Genomic DNA, 26,905 nt, shown 5'->3' on the forward strand with positions numbered 1-26,905 from the left:
CTACAATTCAAGATGAGATTTGGGTGAGGACACAGCCAAACCATATCAGTTGGTTAACAGAAATTCTAGGAATTCTAGACAGACTTATTTTCTTCCAAGTTTAGCAATGAATAGTCAACTGCCTCTGTTAAGACTAAGGATTGGCAAGATAGCTAGGTTATATTAAAGATAAGAAGATATTCTACAAAACTAATTTAAAGTAAACATAAGTAAGCACAATTAAGGCTTTTTGTTTGTTTGTTTGTTTATTTTTGAGATAGAGTCTTGCTCTGTCGCCCAGGCTGGATGGAGTGCAGTGGTGTGATCTCTGCTTACTGCAGCTTCCACTTACTGGGTTCAGGCAATTCTCCTGTCTCAGCCTCCTGAATAGCTGGGACTACAGGAGCCCACCACCATGCCCGGGTAATTTTTTTCTATTTTTAGCAGAGGTGGGGTTTTACCATGTTGGTCAGGCTGGTCCCAAACTCCTGACCTCAAATGATCCACCCACCTCGGCCTCCCAAAGTGCTGGGATTACAGGCGTGAGCCACTGCGCCTGGCCAATTGAGGTTCTTTCGAAATAATCTGGCACAGGATCTTACATTTACTGACAATTTTCAACACAAGAAAATTTACTTTAATGTATTGCCTGTATTTAAAAATACTGCTAGGACAAATATATCAACCAGTGGCTGACAGGAGACATGCCTCTGTGTTCTGGTTCCAGAGCTGTTATTAGTGTTCTTTTCAATAACACACAGCTGCTTTCTTTCTCACACAGGTGAAAGGAAGACTCATGTTTTTGGGTCACAGAGAAAGGTTTGGTCAGCAACCATTTACTGAACTTCTGTGACTAAGGGATGACAACTGTGCCCTCTGCCATGGAGAATGGAAAGTTGTTCACAGAGCTTGGGAATCTGATTGGTGAGATAATTAAATGACCACATAAGGCATCCTCCACACCCCAGGCTGATGAATATCACACTCCTGTGAATGTCTGGGCAGTCCTCCACACCCCAACCCCTACCCAGCATATGTCATTGGCCTTGAGTCACCTAAGATGTTCCTATCAAGTTGTTTTCCATGTAAGTGCCAGGATGCTGAAGTTCCTTTATTCCTACTCAAACTTTATTTTGTCTTTATTTTCTAGGGAGCCCCAAATTTGTTTTGAACCATATCTATCTGGCCATGCACCAGGTAGCCAGAGTGGCTTCAATGGGCAAGGAGAAAAAGTAAGGGAGGAAAATGATAGCGGCCTCGCTAGTTAAATATACTCAAAACAGCCACCCTTTATTGACCACAAACTGTGCCAGTGCTAATGATAATCACGGAATCACCACCCAACATTCCACACCTGTTAACACTAAGGGCTTTACCTACATGGCCTGCGCCCCTCATATCCACCCTAGAAGGTAGGTTGCACATTATCTTTTTTGAGGTGACAGCACTGAGGCTGAGATGAATAAAGAGAATAACCACCCAGGGCTCCTCAGCAAGATGATGTCTGAAGGGCCTAAGTCCCAGCCCTGGTTCTTTCATTACACTATGCTCTCCCGAGAGTGTGGACCCAAATAACCCATCCGGTTTAGGGGAAAAGAAAATGCAGGAAAGTAACAGAATCTCCAGGTTTGGAAGCGGGAGTAGAGTCATAGACACAAGAAGGTGGTCTTTCATTGGTCTTAAATCACCAAAGATGCCCCTATAAAGTTGTTTCCTAAGTGCCAGGATGCTGGAGTTCCTTTATTCCTACTCAAATTTTATTTTGTTTTTTATTTTCTAGTGGACACCTGGCCATAGCAAATAGATACGAGATCAGCCAATTTGCTTTTCAAAAGGTAGAACTGACAATCACGTGGAAGGACTGAAATGGTCCACAAATTCCTAATGTTTTTAAGACTGACCAGTTACACATATTTATATTTTTTAAAATTGAAATGTAAAGGTAAAAACTAAAAAAATTGTTTACAAAAGGCCAAATCATAAAATTCTTCCCTCCTTTCTAGATGAATTCTCTATATGAAAGATTATACTGAAAAAAAACCATTTTTCTACTCTCAACACATCAACTGAGTTTCCTATAATTCAATTCTGACACTACCTGGAGATAGCACAGACCTCACAGACCAGGGGCTCAATCCCACAAGACTGCATCCCACTTCAGATGCCAATCACAAGTCTCAGGTTGTCACCTGTACTTCTGACCAGTGGGCTCTATATCAGGGTTCTCACAACCACCCTCTGCGGTCTGACAAGTACCTGTTAAGGGCTCACTAAACTCAGGGAAACATTTACTTACACTTACTGCTTTATTATAAAGGAGATGAAGATGAACAGTCAGGTGAGTAGTTACACAGCATGAGGTCTAAAAAGGTCCTGAGCACAGAAGCCTCTGTTTCCGTGGGGTTTGGGTTCACTATCTTCATGGCACATGGATGTGTTCACCGACCTGGAAGCTCTCTGAATTTCATTGTTTAGAGTTTTTATAGAAGCTTCATTAGGTAGGCATGATTGATTAAATCATGGACCACTGGTGATTAAGTCAATCTCCATCTCCCTCCCCTCCCCAGACGTTGAGGGCTGGGACCAAAAGCTCTATCCCTCTAGTCATGCCTTGTCTTTCTGGCAACCAGCTCCCATCCTGAAGCTATCTAGGGACCCCAGCCACCAGTCATCATATTAGCATACAAAAAGATTCTCCTATCACTCTAGACATTCCAAAGGTCTTAGAAACTCTTGTGTTAAGAATAAGTGATTAAAACCAAATACTAAAACAAAAGATGCTCCTATCACTTCTATCACTCATGAAATTCCATGGTTTTAAGAGCTCCAGCCCAGTGGCAGAGACCAAGTATGTATTTCTTATTATGTCACAATAATAGAATATTATATACAATTAGATACTAAAATCTACTCTATAAGAGTAGATTTATTAATTTGTGCCATTGTTTAAATAATACTTCTTCCAAGCAATAATATATGGAATATTTCTTAGTTCATGTTTAATTTCTTATATGAAAAATGTTTCTAACAATGACAAGAATTTAGAGTGAATGATGTATAATTCTCAAACATGAAATCAACAGCTCAAATCAGACATAAGAAAAGTACTTATAGCTAACTAAACCTTGCATGCTAAGCATATGTAAGATTATTCTAAATATTCACTTGTTGAGGAGGATATCAGAGATAATCCAAACCACTTCACAGGCTTTTTAAAAAAATGACTATGTCAGAGGCATTTGAGCCAGAGTGACTCCATCTTGAATAGGGGCTGGGTAAAATAAGGCTGATACCTACTGGGCTGCATTCCCAGAAGGTTAAGGCATCCTAAACCACAGGGTGAGATAGTACGTCTGCACAAGGTACAGGTCACAAAGATCTTGCTGATAAAACAACATGTGGTAAAGAAGCCAGCCAAATCCCACCAAAACCAAGATAGTGACAAATGTGACCGCCAGTTGTTCTCACTGCTCATCACATGCTAATTATGATACAATCGCATGCTAAAAGACACTCCCACCAGCACTATGACAATTTACAAATGCCATGGCAACAATCAGGAAGTTACCACATATGTTCTAAAAAGGGGAGGAACGTTGAGTCTCAGAAAAACTCATGAATAACCCACCCCTTGTTTATCATATAATCAAGAAATAACTATAAGTATCCTTAGTCCAGCAGCTCAAGCTGCTGCTCTGCCTATGGAGTAGCCATTCTTTCGTTTCTCTACTTCTCTAACAAAGTTGCTTTCACTTTACTCTATGGGTTCGCCTTGAATTACTTCTTGCGTGAGACACAAAGACCCTCTCTTGGGGTCTGAATCAGGACCCCTTTCCCTTGACAATTATACAATGCGTTAAAACATAGTATGTCCATATTTCTTTGAAGAAACAAATACATAATTATGGTATTGGGTCTACAATATCAAAACAAACTTAACATAAGCTTCTATTTACAAAATTACATGCCATTTGCCCCTTTTTTGGGAATCAAACTTTGATTTTTTCTCCCTGGGCATGTTGCTCCCCTGATATTTTAAAGTCACAACAAAACAATATACAATATATTTGCCAGCTTCACTTGCAGCTAGATGTGGCCACAAGACTAAGTTTTGGTCCATGAGGTAAAAGCAGAAGCCGTGTGTGACGGGCAAGTGTGCTCTTCATGACTTTCTTCATCCTGCTGCCTGGACAGTTATGCTAGTGTCCATCAGGGCCCAGGAAATCAAGTTCAAATAAGGAATCTCAGAACTGACTGATATCAGAGTGGCTTTATCGGCTGCGGACTGTATTTCTCCATACTTATTTTCACATGAGAGAGAAATACATTTATACCATGTTTAAATCATCATTAGAGCTTTTCTGTTATATGCAGCTGTGCCTACTCACAAATAACACATGTACACTGAAAATTTCCAGAAGCTCAAGTACACGATCTGCAATATGATATGGTTCTCAATTTTCTCAATTATCAAAAGTAGGAAAGGTACATTCAAGGAGTGTTAAGAATACTTAACAATATTAATTCATCCTGATCTCACTACTGTGGATTTCTAGAATGTGCTGACGAAGACACAGTGCCTTGGATGTTTGTTTGTTGGTTTGTTTGGAAGAACAAACACCTTCCCTGGGAGACTATCAAACAGTGCAAATTGTCATAATAATTCTGAGATATGCACACTATGCCAATCAGCATTGGCAGAACTTGGGTTAACTAAAATTGTTCTACAGAAGCCATCAGTAAATGAAAATGGCTGGCAATGCCTTCAAATACAGATCAAACTGAACCAAGACATCAAAGGTCACATTTTATATATCCAACTCTGAGAATTAGAACCAAAATTAGGATGAAAAGATCACTCTGCTCTCTCTTTTTTTCTTAACAAAACATACGACATGACAGTAAATTTAAAATCTGTAAGCTGCTACACAAAAGAAAATATGTGATATCAAGCAAGACTCAAAGAAAACTTAGGGGGAAAAAGCTTACTTGCTGTCAGTACTACATAAATTCTTCTTCATAACAGGTGAAGAATATTGAAAGGGATATAATAAGAAAAAAATAGCAGAAGCTTACATATACTCATTCATCTAAAACCATATTTGTTTTTAGACTGAGAATTTAGGTAGCAATATCCAGCCAGGTATGCAATGGAGAATTTTAAATTGTACTTTTCATGTTCCCACTAAATGAAGCTCATTTAAAGGATTAAAATATTTCAAAGTCAGAAGATTCACCAAATATCCTAAATGCCAGACAAGAACGCCAAGTCCAAGTCTGAAGCAGAAAAGGCTACAGAATTGTTCTGAAAATTATTTTCTGTCACTATTTAGATTATGACAAGATGTTCTGGGATTTTGGTTGTTGTTGTTTAGTTTCCCACGTTTCTGTCACCCGTATTTAACAACTCTAATTTCATATTTATTTTTGAGATTCAAGGGAAGGACTGCCAGCCAAGTAGCAGCCTTAAGTACAAGGCAAAAAAGCTGCAAACTGAATGAAAGAAAAGGTTTCAATTGTAGAGTAAGAAAGCCTGAGGCAGAAAATGAGGATAATGGGAAATGGGAGGGGAAGGTTATAGTGCCAAAAGGCTGATAGGAAAAATGAAGAGAAGCTCAATTATAGGTAGGTTAAAAGCAAACATTCTCCCACACAAAGAATATCTCTTTTAGATGTGGGCTTGTCAGAGCAATTCTATGACATTACACCCTTTCAATGAAGCAATAATTGATTGAAACATGCTGTGAGAGATTAACATGCAGTGACTGTAATCAACAAATTGCCATCCACTAATACTCCTTCCTCACACTTTATACGACTATCTGAAGTACACACTCTTACACAAAAAAACACTTTGTTCCCCCATTTTCTGATAGAATGCTAAATTTTACTTGAGGAAGATGTCATAAACATTTTAAAATTCAGACAAGGACATCTGATTATCTCACTTTAAATCCAACAACCGTCTGGGGAGATGACACAAGATCTCTGAGAGAGAGAAACACAGAAAGAGAAAGAAGGAGACAGAGGTTTTTCAACCGTTGACACTGTCTTAAACACAGTTTCAAGTAATTTCAGCTGCCGATGTTAGAGTGAAACTATCATTTTGCTAAAATTACTAGGTTGTCAAACCCACAACTGACACAATATCTTGTCTTCATGAATTTCAGTATCTCTTGTTCCCTTCAATTTGCTACTCCAGAAATGCCCCACTTAAATCACACATTTAAACAAATTCCTGGAAATACAGCCAGACACTAACAAAACCACATGCGTTTCTACTAAAGCGCAATATTAAATATGCCAATAGACACGAAACTTCCTGAGAAAATATGGCAATTTACACATTTTTAAAGGTTTTAGAACAGAAATTTCCTTTCAAAAGAAATGAAACCCCAGTTAGCACTAACTGAACTGGGAAATGATGCTGTAGAAATTATTTTTCCAAAGAAATAGAAAAGTAATATATGTAGCCTTCTTCTTTAAAGGGTACACCCTGTCAGGGAGACAGGATATCAAGAGAATATTAAACAAGGTATTATCTGTCTCAAATTTATTTTTATGAGAAAAAACAAGTTATATTGAGGATTTATGTTTCAAATGCAGCCTTCATCCTACGTCAAAGAGATTATATAGATGTAAGCCAATATCTTATCCATATAACAATAAAAGCAAGGACTATTATTAGGTCCTCATAGTTTGCTATTAGATTTTATATTTGAGGCTGGGAGCAGTGGCTCACGCCTATAATCCCAGCATTTTGGGAGGATGAGGCAGGTGGATCACCTGAGGTCAGGAGCTCAAGACCAGTCTGGCCAACATAGTGAAACCCTGTCTCTAGTAAAAATACAAAAATTGGGCATGGTGGCACACACCTGTAGTCCCAGCTACTCGAGAGGCTGAGGTAGGAGAATCTCTTGAACCCAGGAGGGGGAGGTTGCAGTGAGTCGAGATGGTGCCATTGCACTCCAGCCTGGGTAACAGAGTGAGACTCCATCACAAAAAAAAAAAAAAAAAAAAAAAAAAAGATTTTTATATTTGAAAACAGATTGTAATTTTATATATTTGATTCTCTGAAACTTGACAATTTGTGTACATACTTATGGCAACTCTCAGTGGAGCAGAATATTTTATTACTTGTAATAATTTATCCTCCAGTTGTTCTAGAAAATTAGAAATTTACTTAACTACAAAGAAAGAACCAAAGTTCTCTATGGAAGTCTAGCTAAAAAGATGAGTATCAAGTTGGGCATTTGAGGTAAAGTATTTCAGGTGAAGCAAATTAATGTAAATAAAGGATAAAAAGAAAACAACATATGCAAATATGAATAAAGTAGAAAGTCCACTGACTTCTCCATCTTCCATGCTGGCTGCAGTTTACACAGGAAAACCGGGGTTCAGGGGTTGAGGTCAGCACTGAAACTGACTTCGAGGAAATAAGCAGTCACATGCATATGTCATTTAGATAGAACACCGTGTGCAGGAACCTCCAGATTATCTCACCTTCAGCCTCTAGGACAAAACCTCCACTCTAACCTGTCAGAAAGTGGTTAACATTTTCCTTCAAAGTATTTAAAGAAGAAAGTCCATAAACTGTTAAGATGCCCAAGTTTTCCATAATTCTTATAGTCTGGAAGCTAAGGATCTAATTTCTAAGGTCATTCTTTCCCCCTCATGTACTCCTTTTTCCATTTCCTATCTTCAGATCCTCCTGAAATTAATTTCCTAGAACCCTATAATACTTTGGTTTGTTTCTGGCATGCTCTAGACTTCCACTTGAACTTTCCGTTTACAAAGTCTACTGTAAAATGGTCAACCTTTTGTGGCAAAAGCCACATCTGCGAAGCCAACTGTAGTTTCCCTTTAGTTAAATATTACAAGTTAATTACCCAATGTCTTATTTTCTAGTTTATAAATAAATATACATATACATTCCTATGCATTTATCGTAGTAAATTCTAACAGTGGACACAGAATAAACAAGGGTGGAGGATGAAAGCAAATCATAAAATTAAAAGTTTAATGAAAGTATTCATCTCTCCACATAGTTCACTAGAAATATTAGGTAATCATTGAATAAACTACTCTACATTTTTCTGAATACTTTCTTATTTGGAAAACTGTAACATTTGCATAACCTTTCATGCTGAAATTGTTTGTAAAATTAAAATTCAGATAATAAACTACAGCTCAAATGTGGTACAAACATGAAAATGATGCAATTAAAAAATGCATTCCAATGATCCATTCTCATTCTAAATCGAGATTGTTTCCCTGAAAGGTATGCTATACTCCTATTAAACATATCCCTATCCATTAAATATCTTCCTTTGCCCATTGGTTGTGTTGTAATGAAAACTTCCACATTTTTCCGTTATTAATCAGTGTATGTTAATGATCTTATGCTTCAGCTGGGTCTCACTTCACTTCACCTTGCTTCATTAACAACAAGGGTATTAATTAACCCACAATCTACTGGCAGTGTAAAAGCATCAGTTCCCTTGTTATCATACATACTATTGCATGTTCAAAGGTGGTGAGAATAGATTAACCCAGAAGATGAGCACCTCAAATGAAATCCACAGTCAAAATTTAATTTTTAATCACTTCTCATGTGAGTAGTCTGATACAGTGTCAGCTGGAACTAGGACCTCTCTCTCTTTCTCTCTCCTCTCTCTCTCTCAACCTTTTTGAAGCAGTTAGCTCATCCAGTGGCCATTCTGCTCACAGCTGGAATCCAAGAAGCAGGTCTTTGTGCTGGAGATTAGAACGCTCTTAAGTGGGTACTGAAGCACCTGATTTGGGGCTTATAGCTTGAGTTGAATGTAGATTTTTACTTCAATTATGCCTTTCATCCATGATTCCAGTCTCTAGCAAAAATAATCTTCGGGATACAACTCGGAATATATTTGGGCTCATTTCCCGATTCAAATGGTGGCTCAATCACTAAGCAACTGAATTAACTTCTACCTTGGCTTCTATGTCCATTAAATGGGGATAATTATCTTGCAAAAGGATCCATCTAATGGGACAAGGTTTGAATAAATAAACTGGTGTCTGGAGTAATCTTTGAACCTGGTTCTCATAGCTAGAAGGGTCCTCAAATGTCATCTGGCCTAAAGCCTCTGCTTTTATAAGTGAAACAACTGAGAAAATTTCTACACAATTCTAATTATCTCATCACTTTGTCAACACTAATTTATAAAGCCTTCCAATGCTTCAATTATGGTCAACAAATACCGTACATTATATTCTCCATGCTAGTAATTAGGAGAGAAGCTCAAGGAACTACCAAAATCCAAACCAAACCAAAACAAAACAAAAACCACAGCACACACATTATAAAGTAGAACAGAAATCATATTCTAACTTGAGCACTTTTTCTCTCTTGACACCATTTTGGGGATTTGTACTGTCACTGTGGACAGCTGTTTCAAGTCTTTGCTTTATCTGGAAAAACAAGCCCTTACCAAACAGTGGTACTCTTCATCTGCATCTGAGGCACACCCAGGGCAGCTGGAGTTTGTGCTAATGAATTCAGTCTCTCACTGATTTTTTTTTATTAGCATGTATGCAAACAAATTAATCTAATTTTTTTTTTTTTGAGATAGAGTCTTACTCTGTTGCCCAAGCTGGACTGCAGTGGTGCGATCTCAGCTCACTGAAACCTCCCCCTCTAGCATTCAAGCAATTCTCATGCCTCAGTGCCACCACTTCTGGCTAATTTTTGTATTTTTAGTAGAGGCGGGGTTTTACCATGTTGGCCAGGCTGGTCTCGAACTCCTGACCTCAAGTCATCTGCCCACCTTGGCCTCCCAAAGTGCTTAATCTAAGATTTTGAAGTGACAGTTTCTTAAAGCTGAAAAAGACTAAGTAGCAGCCCAGTCCAGTTACTTGCCTTGGATAAAGCGATTTTCACAGTTTAAGATGGTAAAAGGCTGATATCCTTATCAAACATTTCCACAAATGCAGATTCTATGGGTTCTAACAATAGTGATTTACCAACTGGGGATACCTATGCATACTTCAAATTTCTTTTATGTTATTTTTAAAATTTCAATTAAGTGTATTTCTTTTGATTCTGAACTTCGTTGCATTTGACCAGAAGTTTCACATTAATTCTTAAAATACTTTAAATACATTAAAAGATCCTCCAGCTTTTTTATTTTTAAAGACATGGATATAGTTATCCCAAATTAGTGCCTATAATGATATTGGTTATTTAGCAACCCATCATCTAATATACAATATTTTCCTACTTATTTTATTGTCTGATTCCCTCCAATAGAATATAAGCCTTCAGGAGGGTAAGGAGTTTTGTGTCTATTTTGTATCCCTGGCATTTAGAACAGTGCCTATGCATTTGGAGGTCAAAGATATTTAAAGGAATTAAATAAATAAAGGAACTAAATTTTTCTAAGGTATTCAGAAACTCAATAACTAAAATTCACAGTTACATTTTTTATAGAAGCAGTGTATAAAGCTAAAAGTTAAGGAATTGCCAGGAAATGGCTAGTAGAAGAGATATGATGTAGTATATTTCACCACTGAGGGAAAATTGCTGCTTTTCTCCTGCAACACTATTTCTGAATATCCCAAAATGGCTTGGTAATAAAATTCTGCAAATGGAATTTAGTAGTAGAGTGATAAATCAAAGCTATTCTTTAGAAATGTTATGGCATAATTTCTCAAAGGAACTTAAAAAGTTTCCCATTGGACAAGGTTATATAAAAACACACTTAAATCATCACCAGGTATGGCCACTGAGCCTTGGATTCTAAGCTTAATACCCCGTTAACATTCTAACAGCTCTACGAGGCTGAAGAAATGTAGCAGTAACATGAAGTTAGACCAAATTTCCTAAGCCCTCGTGCAAGGGCTATGTGATGGTGTTTTCAGCATAAATTGACTTTGGAGGTCATCTACACCAATTCTCAGGTCTCCCTCCCACCTAAAATTCTATGGTTCTGTAACATATTTTGCAAGGAAAGAAAATATAGATCCCTTTGAATCAAAGGGTTTTAGTGATGAAAGATACTTTAGAGATCATTTCATTTATTACTTGCTCAAAGTCTCAGGCTGTTTTTTTAATGGAGCCCAGATTCGGTACTCAAGACTTTAGAATCTCATTTTAGTAACCTTTCTACTCTGCTATATGCATTTTCTCCTTTCGTAAAACATTATTTCTCTCAGAAGCATTCTTGGCTGTGAAACCTAAGGACCATCCAGGAATTTGTGTCATGTGACAGAACCCACACAAAAATCCAAATGGCTTTTCACTATAGTCCCACCTTCTCATTCCAAGAGATGAGAAACCAAACATTTTGTGTGTCCAGTACCTCTGTTCCCTCTGATGGTGTCCTTTTATCCAAAACCACTTTAATGGAAGGACTGGCAGTGTAGGTTTGTCAGTTATGAACTTCTCAAGCTGCAGAACTCCAGGACAGGGGCCAGCGGACATGAGGCTGGACATACAGTCCTGTCAGAGGGGTTGTAAAGGGGGAACGTTGTTCCTAACTCTCTGTATATCTATAACCAATAGAAACCTAGAATTGGTCTTTCAAAATATGGAAGTAAGACAATGTTCTATTTCAGTGTCTTTCAACTTGGCTGCGGATTGCATCACCTGGGGAACTTTTAAAGACCTTAAGGCCTAGGCCCCAACTCAGCCCAACTGAATTAGGATCTCTGGACATTGCTGTTTTGTTAAAAGCATCACAGGTGCTGCTAATGTGCAGCTACAGATAAGCTACACTGGTCTGTTTATTACATGACCTTACAGAAATAAAAAGATATAAATACAAGATAATGTCATGTGCATATCAATTGTACAAAATCATGAAAAGACTTACCGCCATCTAAATATTTACCTACCCTCAAACATTTTTAGTACAGCAAAAGCCATGCTGCTACGGGGTTATTATGGTCTGGCAACCTGGGAGAAAAAGCCTGGAAGAAAGGCACCCAGGATCATTCCAGGAATGCTAAAAGGCAAGGTAAGCAAGGAAGAAGTTCACTTACGTTGTCTTCTATCTTTCCAAGGGGAAGAAGAAAGATATTCTTAATTTTCCTCCATGAAAATTACATAATTAAATATCAAGGGATTATCATGAGCTTGGTGTTGGCAGGAGACAAGATTAAAAAGTTAATAGAAAATGAGGTGCCTGCCCTCACTTTACTTAATGTTTTATCAGTGCAATGCTTAAAAAACATCACAGCCGGGCGCAGTGGCTCACATCTGTAATCCCAGCACTTTGGGAGGCCAAGGTGGGTGGATCACGAGGTCAAGAGATTGAGACCATCCTGGCCAACATGGTGAAACCCTGTCTCTACTGAAAATACAAAAAATTAGCTGGGCATGGTGGTGCGCATCCGTAGTCCCAGCTACTTGGGAGGCTAAGGCAGGAGAATCGCTTGAACTTGGGAGGTGGAGGTTGCAGTGAGCCGAGATCGCGCCACTGCACTCCAGCCTGGTGACAGAGTGAGACTCCGTCTCAAAAAAAAAAAAAAAAAAAAGTCACTAGGTTGACCATCAAGAGCTTCTGGACTCTATCAGTTGAGTGAGACACTCCTATAATATAAAACAGGCACTTTCACAGAGGTTGTTTCCTCTTTAGAACAGTAACGAACTCACTTTTTCAATCACATGCTCAACCTACTATGTGTTGCTAAACGCCAGCTCCCCAACACTGAGGTATCTCTGAAAGAATCAAGGCAAGCTGTGTAGACACGTCCACACAGAGGCATGCTAACAGAATATACTGAATGATAACCTCATGAAATTAAAAAAAAAAAAAAAAAAGCAGCCATACCTAAAAGAAATCAGGTCAGGCCTAATGAGAATCAGCTGGTAGGCTTTACCTATTCCTACTATTCTATTCTCTGTTGGCTTTTTTTTTTCTTGGAAACTTGTAATCATAAGTACATTTTCTTCAAAAAGATGAATAAGGAAATGGGAAATAACATATTTCCTATGTTTTCCCTAAGGTAGACCTGTCGTAACACAGATTCAGAAAGAAAAATCAGTAAGAAGGGGTTTCTCCATGTAATCCACAGTTTTCCCCCTGCTTTGAAACAGAAATCATCGTTCACTACAGAAGTATCTGTAAGCAAAACACACTTTATCCTCTCTAGGGAGGAGAAAGGGTTAACTAGCTACAGTCACCAGCAGGACCACCACAGAGCAGGACTGGCTGGGCCCAAACCTGCTCCCCCATCCCTTCAACTCCTCTAACTCACAGCTCCTTGTTTTTTTTCTTTCTTACCTTCCTCGTAATTCTCTCATGTAAACCTCATGCCCAGTGATGTTTGCCCAATTTCTGGGAAAAGATAAAGCTCCAGAAACAATTTGATTTTCCTCTAACATTTCAAAATATTTCAAGTCAAAACCTGAACCTTGGAAAAAAAAAAGGAAATCTTTGAAAACAGCTTCAATCACTGTCCAGGTTCACAAATATCTAGTTACCAGACTCATAGTTTTCCTACTTTAAACAATGAAGAACTATCAGACAAAAGAAGAAATGTTGAAAAATTTAGATGACAATGAATTTCATTGCTGCTTGCTCTCAGGGAGTGTTATTGCTAACTTAGTAAACAAAAAGGGAGCTTGTCACAGATGAATGAACATTTCAAAACTGGCTGCAAATAAAGACCCAAATGCCTGGTTGGTTTGCTTGTTCCTTATCAGCACTTCCCATTGATCTTCTCTTTAAAAGTTTAGGAAATTCACTCGGCTAGGCAGAGTGGCTCACGCATGTAATCCCAGCACTTTAGGAGGCCGAGGCAGGTGGATCACGAGATCAGGAGTTCGAGACCAGCCTGACCAACATGGTGAAACTCTGTCCCTACCAAAAATACAAAAATTAGCCGGGCGTGGTGGTGGGCCCCTGTAATCCCAGCTACTCTGGAGGCTGAGGCAGGAGAATCGCTTGAACCCGAGAGTCAGAGGTTGCAGTGAGCCAAGATCATACTCCAGCCTGGGTGACAGACAGACACTCCGTCTCAAAAGAAAGAAATTCACTCATTCACTCATGCATTCCTTCATTCCATAGATATCATACTGGATGACTTCTTGCGCCTTTCACTACAAAGGAGGAAAGATACGTACTTGAGGGATTATGAAAATAGTATACATAGTAGGTGTGTGCGAGTCAACTCATTTAAGAAAATCATTAGTAGGTTGCTTTTAAGCATCTCTAGAATTATTTTTCCTTTAAAAAGCTTGATTTGCTGATAGAATACTATATGAATTTAGTTGTTTCCTATTCTATTCTTGAGTCCAGTAACAACAGAAATGCCTTATCTTAATAGCCCTGGCATTCTCCTCCCGGCTATATTCAATGGAGTAAACGTTATCTATTTGTATGTTAACATCAATCAGTAATCACTTCCACTTGTCCTGTGGGAGCACAGAGGGCCTCCTCTATTGGGTCCTGCACCTACATTTTCACAAATTAGTGACTTTTGTGGGAAAGCGATGAGAAATTACTCACATCTCTTGTTCAGTTATCTTCCCCAGCCTCTGATGGGTCCAAAAATGTAAGAATCCAGAACAGGCTCATCCCAGCCTCCAGGACCATTCCTTTTCTCCCATGGACCCTCTCCTCCTCACTGCTATTAGGCCATGTGGAGGGCCACCATATGGCTACACGCGGCCCCAGATGGCTCCATCTCCGTAAAAGGGGCGCTCAAGAACATAAAAATGCTGCTGTGTACTTTTATTGCAGCCCCTTCTCATTTTCCTCCATCTGTCCTCCATATGGTTTATGCAACTCTCTTCAGCTCCTGCACACCCGGGCCTTTGATAATGAGGGTTGCTTACCTGACCGAGATAAAGAACTAGAATTCACCTTTGTCAGCGACAAGGGGTCCTGTTACTTTGAATATCTGATTTGCTTAGTATTCGAGCTATTAATATCTCCTTTTCTTCAATTTGCACATGACATTTATTTTATATTTATTATATTTCTTATAATCTTATTAACAGAAACCACATGGTGGATTTTCTGTTGTGTTTTCTCCAAGTGCCGTTCTTGAAGTTTGGAAGAGCTACACTGACTTCCACTTAGGCATCTCTTTTATATACACATTAATCATTTTCTCCAAAGTTGACTTTTCCATTTTCATAAAATCTTTCTTTGGTGAAAGTTGTTACCATTTTGCCACTCAGATGTCTCTGCAAAACTCTAAAGTTTCATTTGTGTCCCTCCCCCAAACTCTAAGGAAATGAGCAGGAATTAGGTGAGGTGACCCCAACCAACCCCTTCTTCCCCACTTAGGTTGGTGCTAGGAGAGTCAAGCCATGAAGTCCTGGTCCGCTTGGCTTTGTGAGCACATGGCAGAAGTGACACATGTGATCCCAGGGGTTGGTATAACTGAGAAGAAAGCAAGAATAAGTCACTAGACAGGATGCAAACCACTATATTTCCCAATAGCAGGCAAATTCTGACATTAGCAACAATAATAAGGGTGATTTGTCATTCTCAGTGTTAAGTAGTGGGAACCTGTGAGCACCTGAGCCATTTTCTCAAAAGTAAAGAGAACACAAACTAATGACAATTAAAAAGAAAATGAAATGAAGCTAGGCCTGGGCAGGTTATAATAATTTCCCTGCTTACTAATGTGACCCAGACACAAAGTCTTGCACTATAGAACTGTAGTGTTATTAAGAAGAAGGAAGTATTCAATCTTTCTAAACCTCTACTAAAGTGTCTTTTCCATGACAGATAATTTGTCTGTATTCTAGTTCAAAACACCTGTGTAAAGCAGTCTGGTAATCAGTAGACTGAAAATTAGACCCACCTTCCATGATGATTACATTTGATGAAGCAGAACATGGGAATAGTGCTCAAATGCACAAAATATTAATCTACAGACATACAAAATCAACCTAGCAAATGCCAAGAGAATATGTTTTTCTTTTAGCTGTTTATTTAGTGCATATAAATGACAACTACTGATTTTGTCTTCAAACATATGCAAAATAAGGTATCTATCTGAATTTTAAAATTACACAATAACTTTACTGTAGGATACATGATTAGGTCATTTTGATACTGTTTTTTTGCCCACTTATGTATTTCACACATACTTGTTTCTCTTATTGTCCTTTAGAATGCAAAATAGACCCAGACATCACCTATGTTCAGACAAAACTCCAGGGACACAAGGAAATTCTTGTTCCCACCTAAGCTGTCATTTCACAATCCTTCTTGCATGGTAAAAACCTAAGGAAACTGTGGGTCTCACAGGTGCTATGGTAGGAGCAAACAGTGCATTTTAGTTAAGGGATCAAGTTGCAAAATGCAGGCTACAGTCAGAGGCCTATTCATTGGAATAACTGCTCCAGCATGGAACAAATTACAAATTCTGGTTAAGAGAAGCAAGTACTCTCCCTTCTGAGATAAAGGAAGTTACAGGTAAGTCATTTTGTAAGTGGAACAGTAGTGTTTCCAAAAGTGTATGGGTGAAAAAGCAAAATGAGTGTTTTACTCTCAGATTAAATTTAAAATACAAGAAGTCTGATCGATAAGGCTTTAGTGCATTACAGTTTCTGCTCTGAAAAGCTGTGAGTATCATAGTCTGCACCTCGGGGCTTGTTCTGACCAGGCAGTTTGTAAACCACTTGGAAAAAGGCAGAAGTTGCCACTAAGCATGTAGCTGCTGAGTAGTTGCATTAATTGTTGACATTTCAGCACGGAGGCTGCTGCCCCCAGCTCAGCACTGCCTACATGCCAGGTGAACGCCTGCTAACCCTCCTCCTCCTTGTATTTCTTTCCATTGAACATGGGCTATTGAATGTTGGTCTCTTGCCAACTGCCTTTAGGTGAGATTTGGGAAAAATTGCCAAAGAAACAAGAACAGCTGCCTTCATATCATTTTCTTTGTACAGCTACTTCCCAGGGAGCTGCTTGGGATCTACATGTGTCCATTTATTGGATTTAAACAAATCAGCACAAGGCAAGGGACGAGTCGCACAAAGCATATGCTATTTCTCCCCACCCCGGTTTCAGCTAACAGTGGGAACCTTGCCCCTGAGGGTACTGACAAGGGCATCAGCTGCTATCAGTCTGGAAGCATGAGCTACTCAGAGCCTTACCTGTTTCTTTGTCCTGGACTTCTTCCAGGTGCAAGTCATTCAAAAGGTGCTCCAAAATCTTCTCCGGGGTCCCGGACACCACCACATATCTGTCAGAGAGCAGAGAGTCCACTGAGTCATCCTCGGTGGAAGACTGCGAGCGGCTGCTCCATTCATCGTCCTCATCCTCCTCGTCGATGTATTTGAAATAAGGCACATCGAAGGTAGGCAAGGGCAGCTCTCGGTCTGAGAGCGCCGCGGCGGAATCTTTCCTCTCCAAATGAGGGTCAAAGACCCTCAGCCGGGAGCTGCCCATTGTGAACGGTTACTAACAAAGGCATCCCCTAAATGCTAAAAGATCTTGCCATCCCTGTCCTTTCACTGGGAACTGAGTCCATCTGGCTGCTAAGAGCTCTGCAGTCAGCTAGAACGCTGGAGAGGCGGAGAGAAAAGAGAGGGAGGGAGGGTAGAGGAGGCAGAGAGCGAGTGAGATGGAGCAAGGGAAGGGAAGGCAGGCAGGGAAAAGGAAACGGGAGCGCGTGCCTCTGTGGCTGCAGGGAAACTCTCACCTCCAATGGCTCTCCGCACTCCCAGCTGTGGGGGCTGGGCCACAGCACTGCACTTTCTTCAGCACCAGGACGCTCTGGTCTTGCTCTTTAACCTGAACAGTCGTCACTTCATCATCTTGCTTTAATTGTGGACAGGGATGATGGATGAGAGAAGGAAAAAGAGAGAGAAAATTAAAAGTGGGGGGAAAATGGAGCTAACTCAAGCTGTATTTTCTAGAGTTGCTTTACAGTATCATCTCTTCAAAGATTGAGAATAAATTAGGAGTCTGGTCAAAAATCTCCCTCTAATATTAAAGTATCCAGGCTCAAGTGCTATGAAAACTTAAAACATTAGACAGACATAAATACTTTAAAGGAAATAGAAAACAAAGTGGAGGTGGAATTCAGAGTTTATTTTTAAAACTACCTAAACAATTTAGGGACTACAAAGTTCAAAGTTTCAAAAAGCACAACATACTAATTGCATGTATACTATATTCTCTTTTACCTGGTAGATGTTTATTAAACACTCTATTAAAGTTGAATCATACAAAATATACATTATTGAAACATTAAGACAATGAGTAAGCCCTATTCAGTAGTTGCAATCAATACATATATTCATTTACTTTACACCCTTACTTTAAAAGGCGGCAAGAAAAAAAAAACTACCCACTCCATCATTCAATTCAATTTTTTTTTCAGACTTGAGATGGCCTTCAAATTTATAATGTACTAGTTTTGCCAGAATATAAGCAAAAATGGATCTCTAGTTAGAATCTCATCTAGGCTGAAATTCGGATGCCATGGATGACTGCACAGACTTTCTTCACCTCAGTCCCTTTTTAAAAAGGAGAGATGGCTGAACACACAGATTCATTTCTGCACACACAGCTTCCACAGCCCAGAGTGAGTGTGGCCCGCTGACGTGGCTCTGTCACAGAGGACAGCTTGCTGCTGACCCAGCAGGGTGGCCTCCAACTCGGAGCCATGAACACTTCCAGAGTGTTTAGTGTGAAATTCTCCTGATGTGCAATACCCAGTAAGCGTACGGTAGCCCGGGAGAAAGGAACTATAAGATGCATGTCCGAAAATCTAGCTTCCCTATTTCTGAGGATTGGAGCAAAAGATTAAAGGAAGAAAAGTTGACAGTAAGTAGGTTTCACCTTAAAGATGATGTCACCTCTTTAAAAAAGGCACTATGTGCTTAGGGCTCCTAGCACGTTTCCCCTACTTACAGAAAATCCTACCTACCTACGGTCAGGTACAAACATGAAAGAGGATATCCCCACCCCCAACAGAGAAAAAAATATCCATTGTGCCTTATTAATTGGTTCTACAGGCTAATCAGGGATGTCAATGTATTTGATTCACCTTTCATAAGAAGAGGAAGGCACTAATCTTGCCCTAATTGCCAGCCAAATCACTGATAACAATTGTGACTTTACCTCCTGGTATTCTGATTCCTAAGAAAATGCAATAAGCTAATAATTTAAGTCCTCCAGGATTTTCTTAAAAACGAAAAATATTTGTCATTCTAAACAGCAATATAATTTTATGATCATTCTTTTTTAATCTTTTAGTGGTAAATAATTTCACTATGTAAAACCGATGTATTACATTTCAGCAAGGTCAGACGCGTGCAGTTACTGTGGCAATTAATGCTGGATATTCATTGTGAAACTCCCTGAGGACGACAGTGGGACTCCCGTAACATGAATACCAATGTGTAATTGCTATCTTTCATTTCTCCAAAGGGGTTCCTTTGTTATCTATGTGGCTGAAGTGAAATAAGGTGGCTGGAGAGAAGTGCATATATTGACCAAAAAAACCCCCCAAAAAACGAAAAACAAAAAACAAAAAAACAAAAAGGCAGAATGAGGGTCTGGGATGCTGAGACACACAGAACAAACAAATAATTCTGTTCTCTGAAAGGACAAAAATCTTTCCCTGGTTTCCTTTAATCATGCGCCAATACTCATTTTATATGAGCTTGCTGTCATTCTGAAGTACGTTTTACATTCTATGTGCATGTGATATATGGCATTATTAACTTCCACAGGCCATGCACATACATATGGATGGGAAGGGCTTCTCTAATGCCTGTGTAACTAATATGTATTACATGGCTGTGCACACAGCAGCCACACTCTGCCAGGCAGGGGAAGAGCTGAATCATATTGATGTACTATCAATAGCATCTATGTCATTGTGATAGTTTTCCATTTTGAAGACCTATTAAAAATAAAGAAGAGAAAAAGCAGAAAAATTAATGTACAAAGGGAAATATGTTATCTAAAATTGCCATAAAAATGTAATAATCCTACGAATTACATCTGGCTCTCAAGAAGGAAAGGTAAATTAATGTTTCCTGACCCCTGCATGCTTAACTAATTTCTCATCCTGAGAAGGAACAGAAGTACCATAGTTGAGGTTCTGGGTATGAAATTTTATTCTTGTGCTTGATTGGTTAAGATTAAAAGTATTAAGAGAATTAATAACAGAAAATATATTCAATGACAAATAGTTCATGAAATGCAGGTAAAGTATTAAAACACTTAATTGACATTCATTCAACAAATAGTGAGGGCTTGCTCCCTTTGCGTAAGGCACTGTTCTGGACACCAAGCGGCAAGTGAAAATGAGTGAGGCAAGTACCCTGCTCTTAACTGACAAGTTAATAGGCTCCATGACAACATAAGTATAACTGGGTCAGCACCCTAAGATGTGGCCAAATGCAAGAGACAATGCAAAAGTAGAATCCATGGGATCTGACAATCAAAGATAACTATGGGTGACTGTGAGAATGGAAATACCATTAAACAGGGGAGAATGTGTATGAAGGAGCGGCTTTGGTGAGACAGATGCTTCTGATTTTAAACGCTGATGTTTCGTACTAAGACAGCCTGCCTGCCACAGACGTTTAGCAAGCAGTTAGAAATAAAGAACTAGGCCTCTGGACAAAGGTCAAGGGTAGAGACAAATTTATGAATTATTTAAGCTTTGGTAATGGATGAGATTGTTAAGGAGGAACAGTAAAGAGGCAGAACTATGAACATTGGGGATTAAAGGAGCTAAAATCACACTAAGGGGAAGAAGTAAAGTGGGAGAATATTCGAGTCATGGGGGAACCTACGTACAGAGAGAACATGAAGACCACTACCAAGATGAGCCAGGAGGAGAGCCAGGAGAGCGCTGTATCAGGAGACCCCAGGAGAAAGCCTGCCTGACACTGTAACATTTACAAAGATGGTAAGTCTAAGAAAAAGTGATGATGAGGTCACTTTAGGTCAGGAGTGGGGAAAATGTGTTAAACTGTGAGTGAACAAGGAGGAAGAGAAGACTACATCTTGGAAATTTCATTCTAAAGGAAATAAGTCAGCTTGAAGAGACCCATTCCTCCCAAATCAAACCTGTCTGAAACAGGCAGTAGAGAGAACCTTTCAGATGGCAAACGTTGAAAATCATCTAGCTTGACACTACGACACTCAAGAAGTCATACAAGTAACACGAGTTCCAATGCTGTTTGCCCTTAGGTCTGTGAACACATTAACTGAAGATGTTAACTGATAGGAAGGCATTTGTAGCCAATGGCTTGTTATACTTCTTTTCATCTCACAACTTTCTTGGCCTAACTCTTATTTATCCCACAAAGTTCACTTCAAGAATCACCTCCTCCAGGAAGCCCCCTGGTCTTCAGTTTGATCTTGTTGGCCCTTCTGTGTGACTTCACAGCACCACATGTATCCTTATAATTCAGCACTCTCAGGAGCACTTACTGATGCACTTTCTGTCCCCGCCTTGCCCAAGCTCACTCATGGGCAAGTACCCTATCTTCTTTGACTTTGAATTCCCAATAGTTAGCCAGGTCTTGACATTTCACAGACACTCAATTAACATTTACTGAATACGTTTATAAACAAAAGATGAATGAATGCATTTGCATTTTAAAGTGGAGGTTTAGAGAGCAACACATTAAATCTCTTTTTTCTTTTTTTTTGGGGGGGGGTGGTAGGAGGACATTCTCACTCTGTCACCCAGGCTGGAGTGCAGGAGCACAATCTCCACTCACTGCCACCTCTGCATCTTGGGCTCAAGTGATCCTCCCATCTCAGCCTCCTGAGTACCTGGGACTACAGGCACACACCACCAGGCCCAGCTAATTTTTTATTTTATTTTGTAGAGACAGGGTTTTACCATGTTGCCTAGGCTGGTCTTGAACTTCTGAGCTCAAGCAATCTGCCCACCTCAGTCTCCCAAAGAACACCTTAAATCTCTAAGAATACATTTCAATTGGTGAATTGTGATACAGCCCAGAGAGAAGGGACATTTTGCTGAGAGGCGCTCTTCCTAAGGAGGGATCGTCAAACTCTGCTGGTGTTCATCAAACTCCACAGGGCACTGGCCTGCCCTGCTTTGCATCCTGACCATCAGCTTAGCTGAGGCAAATAGACTGGGCTAACCTGAGAAGAACAGCTGGCATGCTTGTTACACTGGACAATGTCAAAGCTAGGCAAGGAGTTACATATACATCAGATCAGAAGACCTGCTTTAATTCAGGGTCTTAGCTTGAGAGTAGCTCATGTGAGATAGCACCGAGCCTTGGCCACTACTTAAGATAATATAAGTATTTTGTGAAGTGTAAAACATCATGCAATTATTAGTTACTGGACCATTAATACCTAATATAATTTTATTCCATAATGGTAGAGGTAATGACAACTCAAGAACTAAGGAGACAACACTGCCATATGCAACAAACAGAACCACCAGGAATGGGCAACTGGGGAGGAATCAGCCACAACCAGGCAGATAAACCTATGACAACTAACACTTACTGAGGGCTTACCATACAGCAGGCAAAGCTAAGGGCTGAAGATCCACTACTTTACCTAATCACTATAATGATCCTATGAGACTAATGCTATGAAAATTCCCATTTTACAAATGGAGACAGGAGCCCAGAGATTAAATAAGAAAGATCACAGAGCAGACAGATGGCGAAGCTGAGATTGAACCCAGACAGGCTCGACACCAGTGCCCTTAACCAGAACCACAGATGTCCCCTAAGATGGCCAATGCTCTATATTCTAGATGACAGCTATCAAAGGAGATGTCACTTTCCCTCGTGCTGACTGACAGTGCAGGGCAATCTGTTGGTTGGTCAGGCAACAGGGAGGTCTAGGCCAAAGTGAGAGTCAAAAGTTCTAGCATAGCCGGTTTTTAGTTCTGGATGGCCTGTCTGGTTTGGGAAAGCCATACAAGGGCTTTCATTCTAAGAGAGGAAGAGAGTTGACAGGAGCTGAATGCAGTGGTATGACCACAGCTCAACCAGCTCAGATCAGGCAGCACTCAAGACCCAGCAAGGGGAAAATGAAGTGCCAACCAGACCCGAATCAGTGACCAAGGCAGGAAGAGAGCTAAACACGGCAGGGACCGGCTTTAGAGGAAGGCTGTATTTGTGGGCACCTATGTCTATGCAACTTGGAACACAGAGACATGCAGGTTAAGGCTGGTGGAGATGGGGCTCCCAGTATATAAGCTGCCTCGGGCCTGATGGGCTCAAGAACTGGGTAGACATGAATTATAGACTTTAAAATGGCTAATTTTATGTTATGTAAGTTTTACCTTAAAATTGAAAAAAAAAAAAAAAAAAAAAAAAAAAGGAACTGAGCAGAGATGAGTCTGTGGACACAGATTTGTTGGCCAGGGGACACATGAATCTGCCCCAGGGAGCCACAAAGGGCTCTGAGAAATATGTCCTGAGAGGTACAGTTCAGGTAGCTGGAAGGTCCGAGAAAGAAGAGTTCAGGAGGATAAATAGCAGCAGATTATTTCCACTTTCTGAGCCACTCTACCCTGTGGGAGAGGAAGCCCTGGAATTACTCATGACATTCTAGAAAGGCGACTTTCCACTAGTGGGTGATGAGATAAAAGTGGCTGACTGGGGACCAATTTAAAGAAGTGCTAACAGCAGAGATGGACCCAGCTCTCTCTCAAGCTGAAGCGGAGTGTATCAACAATATCATAGAACAAATGAAGACGATTCTGGATCAAGAGTCAGGGCTATGCTCTGCACCCTTTCCAACACAAAGATTCTACAAAACTAATCTTGATTCCACTTTTCTCACAGAAGCCCAAAGTGTTGGCTCTCCTAAATAGGAAGAGGGCACATGATTTAGCAGTTAGGTATCTCTTCCCATCTTGTACTATGGAAATTCACATAAAGCCTAGCTGACCAAGCCATCAATGCCCACATCTGTGTCTGTTATACAAATGTGGGTACAGCAGAATTATAAGACTTATCTGAAAAAAAAAATCTCCTCTGGCCAAAAAGAATTTTATTCGAGAACAACCCTTAGATAATTTGCTGACAATGTATCTCATGATTCTTTTTCTCATGAAAAAAAAAGTAAACAGATGTTTTTTAAAAAGGTCAAAAGAATATTGCTGGCAAGATAGAAATGATTAAGAGAGAGATTAAGTTAGCAGATGTATGTCAAGGTGAGCCACTTAGACTCACCCGACCACAAAGGAGCTGGCCTAACAAATATGTCTTTGTACACGATACTCTGGCAGAAGGAGAGTATTTAGATAACGACAATTAGTTCTTTCCTTTTTTTAATCCCACACATATTAAGATTAATAACTCTAATGAAAGCCCAAACAAGATTAATAGGATTCATCATCATTTATAAAATCTAGGTAAAGTCTGACTTTTATAGATATGAAAATAAACATATATTTATTACGGAACTTGACCAAACTCCAACAGAAAACCAATATGCATGACTAAACAGAAAGCTTCTGGCTACTAGAGAAAAACTGTATGTATTCAATCTCATTGCCTCTAAGAATATCATCATACAAAACAACTTGTCTAATAACCCTAAAACCAGAGCAAGCCTAGGAATTTGATCCCAGGGCCAACTTCAGCTAGTAACCTACTGCACAATAGGGCAGAAAAGATGGGATAGACTGTAGCATCTTGAAATATAAAGTCAATGTCTTTTTATTATGAATATATTTCAACATGCTGTATTAGCTTGACAGATCATTCTGGATACTGGCAGGAAAATGCACACTCAGCAAGGGTTGTGAAAGTGTTTAATGAAGGGGCTATTTACAGCTGTGTAGGTAGGTTTGATGAAACTGAGCAAAAATGGTGAGAGATAACCAGGACTAGAAAAGAGGGAGATCTTAACTAGCCCTGGGCTGGAAGGGGTAAGGGGAGGTAAAAAGTAAGTATTGGATCCCTTTGGGAGCTGGAGGCATAAATGAGAAGCTACCAATGAGGAGCTGCAGTCACTGCCAGAACTACAGAAGGAAGCCAGACAGAGGTAGGAGGAATATCATGACCTTTCTCTCCTTCCACCCTCTGATCTCTTGCCGATGCTTCCCACTGGCTGCATCCCATTCAGAGCAGGAGGACAATAAATCCAGGGTGATGCATTCCACAGTGTGTGGTGAGGACTCGCTGTCCCAGCACAGGGCAGATGTGAGAATGGAGAAAGGGATGCAAATAGAGACAGCCCAGCATGCTTCACATTTCACAGTTTCCAGAGACGCTTGTGTTAAGTTTTCATTAATTTAGACTACACCATATTGGTCATGTATTTCTTCTTCCTGCTGTCCAGAAAACAACTCAAAGAAAAAATCTAAAAGCTTTAGGGTAGGGTGTGTTAGCATTTTCCTACTTGACCGAATCCAATTTCTACATGCTTTATGGTCTTAACAGTCTTTCTTGTCTAGTGCCTATATCAGTTTACTGTAATTTAGCTTCTACAGCTTGCTTCACACTCTGCACTTCCCATGTGACCTTTGAGAGTGGCTAGTCAATCACACAGGTGTTACTGTTTATCATAAAAGCTTAAATTTTATTAAATATTTTCCAGCAGGCTTCTAGTTCCAATATAAAAGTTCTTGGCTGATGACCAGGTTTGGGAGTGGGATGGAGGGTAGAAGAGGGAGGAGAAATGGCAGGGTCAGTTCCACTCTGATGACAGCTGCATGAGAACAGTGGCTGGTTTGGTTTGGTTTTACATCCAGAACAATGTCTGTTAAATGAATGCATGGCCTGGCAAATGATGGATAAGTGGACAGACACTGTAAATCAGAATGGCTCAAGGTCAAGGACAGAGAGGTCAGCAAAGGCAAAGAGGCAGAGGTTCAGTCTCAGAGGAACTAAGTCCGAGGGGTAGGCTTGGGTAGAAAAGGAAAATTCAAGCTTGAAGTCTGCAGAACAAAAGGACAAAATCTAGTCCACTGTAGCTGGGAACCAAAGCTTAAAGTCAGATCTAGGCTAAGTCTGAGTAATGGGCATAGCACTCTGACGCAGAAATGGAGCTTGATTCTGACTCCAGGGTCTTTGGAGCCAGTTTTCACCCAGGAAGAGGCCTGTCCTCAAAGAATGGCTGAGTTCACAGCTGCAGACAAGGCCTCAACCTATACTGAGAGGACATGGGTTACAGGGCTTGCCTTATCTACAGCCAAATCCTGGCAGCCATCCAATAGCTGTTTTGCTGGGAGAATAAAAATACACTCCCCAAATTCCAAAGCATTATCTAAGAAATAAGGGTATTATGCATCTTCTGGGACTTTTAGGCACTAAAAAAGATGATAAAGGCCCAGCACAGTCCCCTGCCACCCCAACAACAGTTCAATCACCAATGACTAGATAAATCTAATTTGTTTAACAATGTACACATCTTACCAAGAACCCTTCCACCAAGCCGCAAGCCAGGGATATCGTCCATTTCTCTCTATTTCATGGGTAATAACCAATTCTGAATAGCATAAAACTTAAACTCAGATGATGGCAGCCCTTCAAAGAACTTACAGCCTGAATCAAATTAAACGGATATCCACCAAAGCAAAGACAGACCTGGTTCAAATCCTAGAGTTGCCACTTTCTAGCTGGGTGGTCTATCTCTCTGAGCATCAGCTTTCTTGCCTGTGAAATGGGATAATCCCTACCTTATAGACCCAGTTGAATACTGGACACAGAGAAAGCCCTCAGTAAATAGAGGGCAGAAAAATATACAAACTATATTGTAACTGTATGCCATCCAAGTATACTAACACTGAAGTATTACAAAATTGAATTTGTATCAGGGTCTTGCTATGATTTTGTTTATGTGTATGTGTATATAAATATCATCCAAATTTTAAAAACACACACAAATAACATAAAATTTTTTCCACTGCAATGCAAACCGCTGCCTATGGTGCTGTATGTGCTACTGAGAGGCAGAGGGCATCACAGGAGTTAACTACAGAGCTCACGGAACCTGCAGAAAAG

General features: G+C 39.9%; 1 protein-coding gene across 9 annotated transcripts in view, besides 2 other annotated features; it reads right to left on the reverse strand.

Moving 5' to 3' along the window:
* The window catches only part of RAPGEF5 (Rap guanine nucleotide exchange factor 5), a 238,919-nt gene that overhangs the window by 58,054 nt on the left and 153,960 nt on the right, over positions 1-26,905 (reverse strand). For 5 of the 9 annotated variants that reach the window (NM_012294.5, XM_017012837.3, XM_047421084.1 and 2 more), the window contains 2 exons: positions 17,626-17,744; positions 17,078-17,166 (listed from right to left, as the gene is read on the reverse strand). In NM_012294.5, the coding sequence (NP_036426.4) occupies positions 17,078-17,166; positions 17,626-17,744 (208 nt within the window). Of the gene's footprint in view, positions 1-15,239; positions 15,354-17,077; positions 17,457-17,625; positions 17,745-18,280; positions 18,522-26,905 lie in introns of those variants that run through there. The other 4 variants (NM_001367600.2, NM_001367601.1, NM_001367603.1 and 1 more) reach the window with 2 other exon arrangements.
* Positions 2,455-2,957: an enhancer, noted in NCBI's record as "NANOG hESC enhancer chr7:22218362-22218864 (GRCh37/hg19 assembly coordinates)". NCBI's record gives its function as "activates a minimal SCP1, AML or CMV promoter by ChIP-STARR-seq in primed H9 embryonic stem cells {active_cell/tissue: H9 hESC(primed)}" and the evidence as "EXISTENCE:reporter gene assay evidence [ECO:0000049][PMID:30033119]".
* Positions 8,291-9,189: an enhancer, noted in NCBI's record as "OCT4-NANOG-H3K4me1 hESC enhancer chr7:22224198-22225096 (GRCh37/hg19 assembly coordinates)". NCBI's record gives its function as "activates a minimal SCP1, AML or CMV promoter by ChIP-STARR-seq in naive H9 embryonic stem cells {active_cell/tissue: H9 hESC(naive)}" and the evidence as "EXISTENCE:reporter gene assay evidence [ECO:0000049][PMID:30033119]".

Source organism: Homo sapiens, chromosome 7, assembly GCF_000001405.40.
Source record: "Homo sapiens chromosome 7, GRCh38.p14 Primary Assembly".
NCBI lineage: Eukaryota > Metazoa > Chordata > Mammalia > Primates > Hominidae > Homo > Homo sapiens.